This window comes from Homo sapiens, chromosome 11 (assembly GCF_000001405.40).
Source record: "Homo sapiens chromosome 11, GRCh38.p14 Primary Assembly".
Lineage (NCBI taxonomy): Eukaryota > Metazoa > Chordata > Mammalia > Primates > Hominidae > Homo > Homo sapiens.
This window is the reverse complement of record NC_000011.10, coordinates 103,209,686-103,221,689: the sequence shown is the minus strand read 5'-3', so window position 1 is coordinate 103,221,689 and position 12,004 is coordinate 103,209,686. Positions and strand designations below refer to the sequence as shown.

The 12,004-nt window shown below is 33.4% G+C and overlaps 1 protein-coding gene across 5 annotated transcripts in view; it reads right to left on the bottom strand.

Moving 5' to 3' along the window:
- Nucleotides 1-12,004, bottom strand: part of DYNC2H1 (dynein cytoplasmic 2 heavy chain 1) — a 370,438-nt gene that overhangs the window by 258,174 nt on the left and 100,260 nt on the right. For all 5 annotated transcript variants that reach the window (NM_001080463.2, NM_001377.3, XM_017018291.2 and 2 more), the window contains 5 exons: nucleotides 11,730-11,814; nucleotides 9,747-9,901; nucleotides 5,832-5,969; nucleotides 1,662-1,775; nucleotides 907-1,067 (listed from right to left, as the gene is read on the bottom strand). In NM_001080463.2, coding sequence (NP_001073932.1) covers nucleotides 907-1,067; nucleotides 1,662-1,775; nucleotides 5,832-5,969; nucleotides 9,747-9,901; nucleotides 11,730-11,814 — 653 coding nt within the window. The remainder of the gene's footprint in view (nucleotides 1-906; nucleotides 1,068-1,661; nucleotides 1,776-5,831; nucleotides 5,970-9,746; nucleotides 9,902-11,729; nucleotides 11,815-12,004) is intronic.

Sequence of the window (12,004 nt, the reverse complement as noted above, 5' to 3'; positions counted from 1 at the left end):
GAGATGGGGTTTAACCATGTGGCCCAGGCTGGTCTCAAACTCCTGGCCTAAAGTGCCTTGGCCTCCCAAAGTGCTGGGATTACAGGTGTGCCCAGCTGTATTATCGACTTTTCGTAGACAACAAAAACTCTAGAGAGATGTAGGACAGTCTTTCTAATGTTCTGTGAATAAACTAGAACAAGAAATGATATGAAAGAATCACAATCTTGTTCTACTCAAATCCTTATTTGTGAACTATTAGGTACTCATATGTTCTAGGATATGCAAGAAAATTGTCTGACTCCTTTTAAGGTAACTTAAAGTGCTCTGTCAACCTATGTCCTCCTCCATCTCCAGATATAAAAGGAACTCTTTACTATCAACCTAAATACTGACAAGGAACTTAATATCGGCACAAACCATAACACAACTATTATAACATGAAACCTGAACCTGCATGGTTTCATATTTTGTTAATACCTTATTCTCTTCTAGTTTGCAGCTCCCTTTTATTATTTAAGGGTCTCCCTCTTTCTGTTTCTGTCTCTGTCTTTTTCCCTCTCTCGGTAGTACAAGACTCTTAAGGATAGTGACTATATTTTCTTCAACAGTAAATCATGGTGAAATCACAGTCCTCTATACTATGTATGGACCAAATATATTATTATATTTATTGAGAAATTTCTTAAACATTCTAAGGTATTCCTTTTCTCCTCTTTTGACACTTTTAACAATCACTTATACAGAAAGGAATATATAGATCTTGATATATGATTACATAGAATACCTTGAAATTTCAAGCCAAAATGTACACCCATGTATTTAGATGAAGTGCATTTTGAAAAACAATATAAGAAATATTTAAAACTACGAAAGAATGTGTCATTCATTGCCGAAATAATATTTTTCACAAATTGAAAAATGTACCTTTTCATGCTCACCCAAGATGTATCAAAGATACCCATCAACCTTAAAACTCCTTCAAGAATATCTCTAATTACATCAGGTGGCATGCGTAGTGAGCGAATTTCTGAAAGTGATTCGGGCTTAATGTTTCCAACTGCTAGTTTAGCTTCATTGACTAAAGGCTAAAAGAGAAAAAGGCCATTTTTATCTTCAAATTATATATTTCTTTAAATCATTAACTCTTGAAAAATTATGTTTTATTGTCATTTATGCAAAATGACTATAGTTACTAATGTTCTCTCTCTTAAAATATCAAAATGCTTTCAATCATACAAGGTGTAAAAAATGTTCAACTTGAGACAGTAAGACGTCTTGCCACCACAACTGCAATAACCTAATTTGGAAAATCTAACTTGTTTTGAGACAATTTGTCATTTTCAAGAGGCTCTTTATATCCTAGGACTAGCTGACTAATTTAATCAACTGGAGAAAAAGAGCTTAACAGTATATCTTAATTTATCTAACACATTTTTTCCCTCTGCAATCAAAACCATATGGCTCTTGGAAAACAAAGATTATTTTTAATTATCATCCATTAATTTATACTTTTCCTGGAAGGCTTTCCTTCTTGTTCTCTTTTACAAGTAACATTTTGGTTGAAAACCACATTTTATAATACTATGAGAAAACAACTTGAGTTACAAATAATGTTTAAATTCCTACATATAACTGGTAAGCAAAAATGTAAATGGATCTTAGAATGTTTTTTAACTTACTTGTACTTCTTTTAATTCATCATCAATTTTATTTTTTCTTTCTTCAATTTTAACAACTTCTTCTGCTATTCTGTGCTTCAGTCTTTCAAGTTCTGTTTTTTGCTCACTAGCATCCTATAAGAATATTTAAGTGGCATTCCAATCAATTTTAATGCTTGATATTTAAAAGCATGAAATCCAAAATATAACATTTCAAAATAACATTTTCTATTAAATGTTTCCTAATACTAGTTTTGAATCTATGACAAGAGAGTTTCCAAAATGCCTGGGAAACCAATGATATATTTTACTCCATATTTTCTATCAGAAAGGTTTCAGTGCTTTAATTTTTTTCTACTTAGCAAAGCAATAAATGCTTTTTATATAAAATTTAAACAAGATAGAAAAACGTAATTTTCTCCTTTTTAATTTTTTTTGAGATGGAGTCTTGCTCTTGTCGCCCAGGCTGGAGTGTAAGAGCACAGTCTCAGCTCACTTCAACCTCCACCTCCTGGGTTCAAGTGATTCTCCTACCTCAGCCTCACAAGTAGCTGGGATTACAGGTGCCCACCACCATGCCCAGCTAATTTTTATAGTTTTAGTAGAGACGGGGTTTCGCCATGTTGGCCAGGCTGGTCTCAAACTCCTGACCTTGTGACCCACCCACCTCAGCCTCCCAAAATGCTGGGATTACTGGCGTGAGCCACTGCGCCCAGCAGAAATACACAATTTTCAAGGTATGATTTTAATTTGTATTTCCTTGATTATTGATGAGGTTGAACATCTTTGTATATATTTGTCATTCTGAGTTTTTTTTTCCTTTTTTTCTTTTTGAGACAGGGTCTCACTATGTTAATTAGGCTCCCAGACTCAAGGGGTCCCCCCAACTTCAGCTTCCCAAATAGCCGACATTAAAGGCATGTATTGCCATGCCCAGATCCTGAAATGCATAATTTCTTAAACAATCATAATAAAACATATTAAACACTTAAACAGCCCAGGCACAGCTCATGGATTCCTTCTTTTATTAACCTCCTGTTCCAATTGGAAGGTATCTCTATTCTGAGTTTGTATAGCATTTAATTTGCACTTTCTTTATGCCATTAACCTAGAATTGCAAGCCTTAGAAGTTACACAACTTGGTATTTAAGCTATCTCTTCAGACAGTGCTTTCTACAAAATACCAAACAGAAATATCTGCTATTTATAATTAAGCAAAATTATTAACTTATGAGATGCACAGTTATTCTCCTGGGTCTTTGCTGGATAATAAAATTAGCTACAGTCTTAGAAATATCGCTTCTCAGAACAGCGCAGAGAAAAAAGTAGCAGATACTCAATGTGTATTACTAATGTCACTAGCCAGAGAGTACACAAAGCACACATAATGCCGAATATTTTCCTTTATAAACACATGGTAATCAAAACACCAAATATTTTCCTTTATAAACACATGGTAATCAACAGTGTTATCCTTTACATAGTGTTTACTTTTTGATATTTCAAACAACTCTTTTAAGGTCAAAATAATTGACAGATTTTTTAACAATAAAAATGGCTGTCTTCATTAAGTAAATATTTATATTAATTTTGTTCCAAAATACCTTGAGAAAAAAATATGTTAAAGTTTTCCAGTATAAAAATTATATTTACATTTTCTGATGTATTACTTACCAGGTCAGGTACTCACTAATTTGATTTCTATCATAGTTTGGCTGTTTCTATAATTTCTTACAAAGGAATCATACAGTATACAGTCTTTCGTGTCTGGCTGTTTTCGCTTAAGTGTAATGCTTCTAAGATTTATCACGTTTTCATTTCTCTCAGCTAAAAATCTGAAAGTGGGACTGCTGGCTGATGTACTAAGATATGTTTAACTTTATGAGACTGTGTCAAACTTTTGAAAAGTAACTGTAGCATTATTCATTTCCTCCAGCAATTATAAGAGTTCCAGATGCTCCACACGGCCTTGCCATACTAGACTGAGGTGTTTTCAGTCTTTTTATTTTACCCATTCTAGTGGATATGTAGCAGCATATCACTGGGACTTTAGCTCACACTTACTTGATGATCATGAAATTAAGCATATTTTCATGTGTTTACTGTCCCTTTATATGTCTTCTTTCATAAATGGCCTGCTCAAATCTTTTGTTCATGTTAAACTGGATTTTTGTTTTGCTATTATTGAGTTGCAGTATTTTTAAAATTCTGAATAGAAGTTCTTTATCAAATATATGTTTTGTAAATATTTTCTCCCAGTCTGTGACTTGCCTTTTCATTTCGGAATTTATTTCAAAGAGCAGAAGTTTTCATTTTGATGAAATTCAATTTATCAATTTTCTTTTTCTATTTTGATATCACATCAAACAAGTCTTTGCCTCACCAAGGTCATAAAGATGTTCTCCTGTGTTTTCTTCTAAGTTTTATAATTTCATGTTCTACACTAAGATCCATCATCCACACTGTGTAAATTTTTGTGTAAGTTAAAAGGTAAAGGTTCTGGGCTTTTTCTCTCTCTACCTGGATATCTAAATATCCAGCACCATTTTTCAAAAAGACTATCTTTCCCCATTTATTTGGCATTTTTGTGTAAAATCAACCGACCACATTCCAGTGATCTCTATGCCTAATATTACAGTAATATCAGATTGCCTTATGATTACTGAAAAGTGACTCTTGAAATCCTAAGTCCCAGTCCCAGCTACTCGGGAGGCTGAGGCAGGAGAATGGCGTGAACCCGGGAAGCGGAGCTTGCAGTGAGCCGAGATTGCGCCACTGCAGTCCGCAGTCCGGCCTGGGCGACAGAGCGAGACTCCGTCTCAAAAAAAAAAAAAGAAATCCTAACTCCCATAACTTTGTTGATTTTTCATGCCACTTACTTTTTAATTGAGATATATACATTAGTCTGATGAATATTAAAGTTAATTTTCATAAAAGAGGCATTAGATTAGTGCCTAGTTGACAAGGTAACAGTTACCAAGAGGGAGATGGGGAAACATATTTGAGGCATAGTCAGGGAAATAAAATTGACAGAATTTAATGACTCATTACATTAAGGGATAAGGTAACAAAAGTCTCAGTATAATATAATTTATAAGTTCTGTCTTAAATAATTAGTGTATATTATAGTACCATAATCTGAGGAAAGAAATACAGGAAAGAAAACTCATAAGTTCAGTTTTGAACCTGTTTCAAATTGTAATGCCCGAGAGACTTCCAAGAAGACATGTTTAACAGATAAAATTGAATTTTTTTTTTTTGAGAGTCTTGCTCTGTCACTCAGGCTGGAGAGCAGTGGCATGATTTCAGCTCGTTGTGCAACCTCTGCCTCTCAAACTCAAGCAATCCTCCTACCTCAGCCTCCTGAGTAGCTGGGACTATAGGCACGTGCCACCACACTCAACTAATTTTTACTTTTTTTGTAGAGATAAGGTCTCACTATATTGCCCAGGCTGGTCCTTAAACTCATGGGCTCAAGCAATCTTCCCACTCGGCTTCCCAAAGAGCTAGGATTACAGCATGAGTGACCATGCCCTGCCAGTAATTGAGCAAGTCTGAAGCTAATAAGAGGAGTTAGGATAAAGAATAAAAAAGATGAATTTGAAAACAGTTATATGTAGCTGGTAGTAAGAGCAATATAATGAACAAGATCATCCTGAAAGAGCATGCAGACATAAAATACTGGGGCAAAGAAGGAACTCAGAGAAATCTCCCTTGAAAGGGTTCAACAAAACAAAGGCAACCACTCAAAAAATGTATAATCAAAATACAAAACATCATGAAAGTACTGAAAGAATAAAAACATTTCATAAATCTTGAGAAAATTAAAAGCAAGGAAAACTCTCAAAGCCTGAAGGAGAGAATTCTAAGAAAAATAAAAGGAAATACCAACCTAAATGGCAGAGTATAAGAAATAAAATCAGTTACAGACAGATCCATGCCAATTTAAAATATAAAAAGAGTTTACATAAGTTGCACATGGTCAACTGAGTGCACCGAGTGATCAGTCTAAACAATATAGGAAAATACCATGCCCTTCCACAAAAGCTTAAGGACATAATATCAGTCTGACTCAGTATGAATAAGCAATATTTTTTAAATCCACCTAAGTGAAAATGTTATTTTTCACTGACTATCAGGCATAAATGCTCTCCATATTGTTTTCATTTTTGTGGTCACTCTAAACATTACCTGCATTGACACTGTGATCATTTGAAGGGCAGCATCTGCTTCATCTTGCTTCGTTTTAAGTAACACACTTTGTTCTCCAGCTTTTCTGTTCAGTTCATCCACAAGAGCTTTAGCTTCATTTAGTTTAGATACACCAGCCTACATCAATAAAATATTGATCGGCAATATTTTAAAAAAGGAATTTTACACACACAGTAAATAAAGCCCTATAGAAAAGAATCAAGCAAACATGTTAAGTGTGTATATACAAAACAGTAGCAAGTAGACTTAGGTTTTTTCTTATTGCTAATTATAACAATTTATTTCACATGATACTCATTAAGATGTAGTTAAAGATCCCACAGAGGTTTTAAAGAAAAACAAATTTTAAAGCATCGCAGAGAATGGTTCCACATGTGCAAATCAGCTAACATAATATATCACATCAACAGAACAAAGGACAAAAACCAGATAATCATCAAAATAGACACAGAAAACACATCTGATAAAATTCAACATACTTCAAGGCAAGAACTCTCAAAAAATTAGGCATTGGAGGAACATACCTCAACATAATAAAGTCCAAAAATGACAAACCCTCTGCCCACATCACACTGAATGGGGAACAGCTGGAAGCCTTTTCTAAGAACTGAACAAGACAAGGATGCCCACTTTCACCACTCCTATTCAACATAGTACCAGAAGTCCAAGCCACATCAATCGGGCAAGAGAAAGAAACAAAAGACATCCAAATTGGAAAAGAGGAAGTCAAATTGTCCCTCTTTATAGCTGGGCATGATTTTATATCTAGAAAAACCTAAAGACTCCACCAAAAAACTCTTAGAAGTAATAAGCAAATTCGGTAAAGCTGCAGGATACAAAATCAACACAGAAAAATCAGCAATGTTTCTATACATCAATAATGAACTCACCGAAAAAGAAATTAAGAAGGCAATCCTATTTACAGCAGCTACAAAAAAATAAATAACACCTAGGAATAAAGTGAACCAAGGAGAGGAAAGACCTCTACAAGGCAAACCACAGCATACCAATGAAAGAAATTGAAAAAGATAGGAAAAAAAAAAAAAAAGGGAAAGACATCTCATGCTCATGGATCAAAAGTATTAGCATTGTTGTGGCTGGGTGCAGTGGCTCACACCTCTAATCCCAGCACTTTGGGAGGCTGAGATGGGTGGATCACTTGAGGTCAGGAGTTCCAGACCAGCCTGGCCAACATGATGAAACCCCATCTCTACTGAAAATAAAAAATTAGCCAGGCATGGTGGCACCTGCCTGTATCGCAGCTACTCGGGAGGCTGAGGCATAAGAATCTCTTGAACCCAGGAGTTGGAGGCTGCAGTGAGCCAAGACCGCACTATTACATGCCAGCCTGGGCAACAGAGCAAGACTCCTACTCAAAAAAAAAAAAAAAAGAAGAAGAAGTACTAGTATTGTTAAAATGGCCATACTACTCAGAGCAATCTACAGATTCAATGTAATATCTGTGAAAATACTAATTACATTCTTCACAGAAATTTTTTTAAAAATCCAAAAATTTGTTTGAAACCACAAAAGAGCCTGAATAGCCAAAGCAATCCTGAGCAAAAAGAACAAAGCTAGAGGCATCACACTACCTGACTCCAAAATATACTACAAAGCTACAGTAACCAAAACGGCACAGTATTTGTATAAAACAGACACACAGACCAATGGAACAGAATAAAGAACCCAGAAATAAATTCATGTATTTATAGTCCACTGATTTTCAGCAAAGTATATATTGGGAAAAGGACACCCTCTTCATTAAATGGTGGTGGGAAAATTGGATATCCACATGCAAAAGAATGAAACTAGACCTCCTTCTGTCATCATATACAAAAAATCAACTCAAAATGAATTAAAGACTTAAACAAAAGACCTGGAACTATAAAACTTCTAGAATAAAACATTGAGGAAATGCTCCAGGACATTGGTTTAGGCAAATATTTTATGGTTAAGACCTCAAAAGCATAGGCAACAAAAATGAAAATAGAAAAATGAGACTATATTAAAGTAAAAAGCTTCTTCACAGCAAAGGAAACAATTAACAGAGTGAATAAACAACCTGTTAAATGGGAGAAAATATTTGCAAACTGTTCATCTGACAAGAGGCTTAATATGTAGATTATACAAGAAATTCAAACAACTGAACAACAACAACAAAGAATTCCATTAAAAAGCAGGCAAAGGATCTGAATAGATTTTTTTTTTTTAAAAGACACACAAATGGCCAACGGTATATGAAAAAATGTTCAACATCACTAATCACCCTTTGATCATTACACATTCTTGTATGAATCAAAATATCACATGTACCCCATAAATATCAATAAAATTATCATTATATATAACATTTTAAAATAAATCCATAAGACTTAAAAAAAAGCATCATAGAAAAGCTAAACAGATAAATACATATTTGATAGTTTAAACACTGAACTTAATAAAAAACACTTTTTACCATTACATTAGATGGGAGAGAAAATAGCAAGCAAGGGGTAACTCACTAAACCTTTTCTAATTTTAGTCTCACTGATTGGGAAAAAGGACTCAAGAGTCACTGTTTTTTATAGTAGACATGACTTGGTTTTGTCTGTCTAATATTCATTTTTCTTGTAAGAGACTTTCTCACATATGGTTCTGGTGGGCTGTCATTCACTTGCCTTACCTGCATTTTGAGTAGACATTTCACCCTGGCCTGGCCATTATGGTACCCCATCCTACTGTGCAAACAGCAGAATAATGAACCCAGGGATGTACATGAAAAAAATTCTTTACCTTCTATCATGTTTTTGTCACCTAACAAATCAGAAGATTTGGGGAAAGAGTAATGGCAAAAAAGGAATGTAATTAATAACTATTGAGCACCCATCATAAAGTACAGGTATTAAGCTAAGTTTTTTCCATATGAATTTTATCTAATACACTCACATACAACTACCATTGACCCAATTAAGCTGCAAAACAGTAAGTTAAAGTGATTTATCCAAAGTACCATAGAGAACTAAATCAGGAAATTAACCCTCCCCAAAGCCCGTATAGTTAGTACCTTAATATAAATGAAAGTGAATCATTAGAAATGATTAAGATAATTATGTCAATTAAGATGGAGCCTACTTTACTACCCTAACAAAGGGAAACTAAAACTTTAGAGAGGAAATGTTCTCTAACAACTTCAGAGGCTGACATTCTAATGTCACATTTAAGTTAAAGCTTTATAGTTAAAGAAATACGGAAAGAAAACTGTTCAGAATGTACTAAGTGAGGTGACATGGATGAAAACATTACTTTATAAAATATAATCTTAATTTTAAAGGTTATTATAAAATATAATCTTGGATATTATGTTTCAGTTAATAACAGGGTTTTCTTTTTTCTTTATTATTATTTTATTTTATTTTGCCATTAGTTATTGGGTACAGGTGGTATTTGCTTACATAAGTTCTTTAGTGGTGAATTGTGAGATACTGGTGCACCCATCACCAGGGCAGTATACACTGCACCATATTTGTTGCCTTTTATCCCTCCCCACCCTACTCTTACCCCCAAGTCCCCAAAGTCCACTGTATCATCTTATGCTGAATAACAGAGTTTTCTTAATTTCTAAAAATGTTTTCATGTGAAAGAGACTCTTAAAGAGAGTACCATAAGCTATCAAAAATCCATAAATGCCAACCAGCGAAGAAAAGAAATAACCACTGAATTTTAAAAAAAATACAAATCATCACTAAAACCTACAGGGCAATATAGGTAGGAAAGTGAGACTGTTTTCCAAGGCTTTTAATACAGTACATTTATTAATACCAGATATATGCCACCCGCAACATAGCATTGTGATTTACAAAACTCTTGTTTCCTATATATAGATAAAATAATTCAAGATTACCAATACTATACCTGCAAATGACTTTGTCTTTTTAATAATTCCTTTTTCTTGCTACTACTAATGGCAGAATACACATGTAAAAAGGTCATGTATCGGCTTGGTGTAGCACCATATGCTTTACAAGATTCATGGATTAATAAAAATGATTTTAGAAAATCAGGATCAACTAGAAAAAAATAGAAAATAAAAATAACTTATTATATGTATGATTCATTAAAAATAAGAGAAAATATCCTAATGATAGTTATTTTATACAAGATACTTCCATGCTATATAGTTATAAATATGAGATAGCATCTTTGCTTAAAGATGCACAGGCATTCCTAGACAACTATTCACAGCTCCCATCTTCCTTAGGAATTTTGAGTTCTCTAGTTTTAGTAGCATCTATATATTGTTATATATTTCCCCTGAACATCTTTATTGTTGCAAGAAAAATAAATCTACATGTTGTCATAACATATAAATTAATTGGGACTATATAACACATGTACAGTAATCCAAAAGTGAGCTAAATACAATCTGCTGAACAGAAAAGCAATACACAAAATACCTATCCACTCCCATTTGATACAGGGAGAAACAAGACTTCAAAAGCCAAAAAGTTAAGAATAAGTTCACACTAGATTCAATATATCCATGATCAAACACATTATATTCCTCTCACCGACACAATTTGCATCTGTATTCCCTGCCCCAGTGAATGAAATCAATTTGTAATGAATATTCCAAGACAGAACCCAAAAAACATCCTCGACTCTTTCTTCTTCTTGTGTGCCACAGCCATTACATAATCATCAAGTCTCATTTAGATTACCTCCTAATATCCACCAAGTCCATTCCTTCCTCCATTATTATTACTTCTTCTTTGGTTTAGGCCTTCATCTTGTCTCTCTTAGATTACTACAACAAACTTCTAAAGTGATGTAATTGCTTTTGGTTTCTCCTATTACCAATCTATTTTCCAATAACTGAAGAAAGGGATATATAAAGATATTTGTTTCTAAAATGAAATTCTGGTAAAATCTCCTTTTAAATCTCTCAATAATACCCTATCACCTGCAAGTTAGAATCCAAACTCCTTAGCATAATGCAGAAAGCTCTTCATTACCTGACCATGCCAACCTTTTCCTCCCTCTTCATCTAGTACTTATTTATACATCTTATGTTTCAGCCCTTTAGGCTATTTATAGTTTCATAAGATGCCTGTTTCACTTTTCCAAACCTTTCCCATGTTACTCACTCTAACCAGAATGACTTTCTCAAGCTGCCCGTCTGGGCAATGTCTATTTCCTATAATATCTGCTAGTCTGAAGTTTTACTTTCCAATTATTTCATAGAAAGTTCTACTATCACTTATCTTGCTATATCAGAAATTTATGTTTATATATAACACAATTCTCACTATCACTGGACTATGAGCTACCAAGTGATCTCTAATATCCAGCCCAGTACAGTATAAAACAAGTTCAATAAATATTTGATTATTAGATGGTTAAATAAATAAGTTAATAAGCTATGGTATAAAAATAAAGACCACAATCAAAATTAATTTGAAGAGAAAATAATGAGAATATTATAGTTAAGAAGATTAAGCCCATATTCAAAGAATGTCATAAAACTTTTTCATATATAAATTATAGAGTTCTGTGCCATATCTAAGTGATAAGCTAATATGAAAAGTTTAGGTTGCTTGCCAAAGACTCTAAACAATTTAAGTAGGTCCTTCAAATCACTCAGGTCAGAAAAATAAGTTTTAAACTTCTTGAACTCACACAGTAGATATTCTGTTGGGTTCTAGGTTAAATGACATACCATTAATTTAAAAATAAAAAGGGCTTCAAAATTTTGTTTGCATCAGAAGAAATCTAATTTTGTTACACTTAGCATTATTCAAATTTATAATCATGAATCTTTAATGGATCTGTAGCATTAAAAACGGCAATTATTTCATAAATAAAAACCAGATCAAACTGATTTTATCAAAATACTACCTGAATTTTTTTTCTTTTCTTCTTTTCGTTTTTTATCATTGTATTTTTCTCCACCACCTGTTTCACTGAATAACATTTCAGGTATCTAAAACATAAAAAGAATATCACTATGAAAGAGTATAAGTCCCATATCATAAGTTAAAAACCTTTAATACAAAAAAAGTCAGTATTGATTGTACTTTTCTTCTAGGATTCATTCCAGACTAAGAGACAAAAATAATACAGAAATCTTTAGAAGAAATGATTTCCAAGACAACATTTTGACACACATCAAC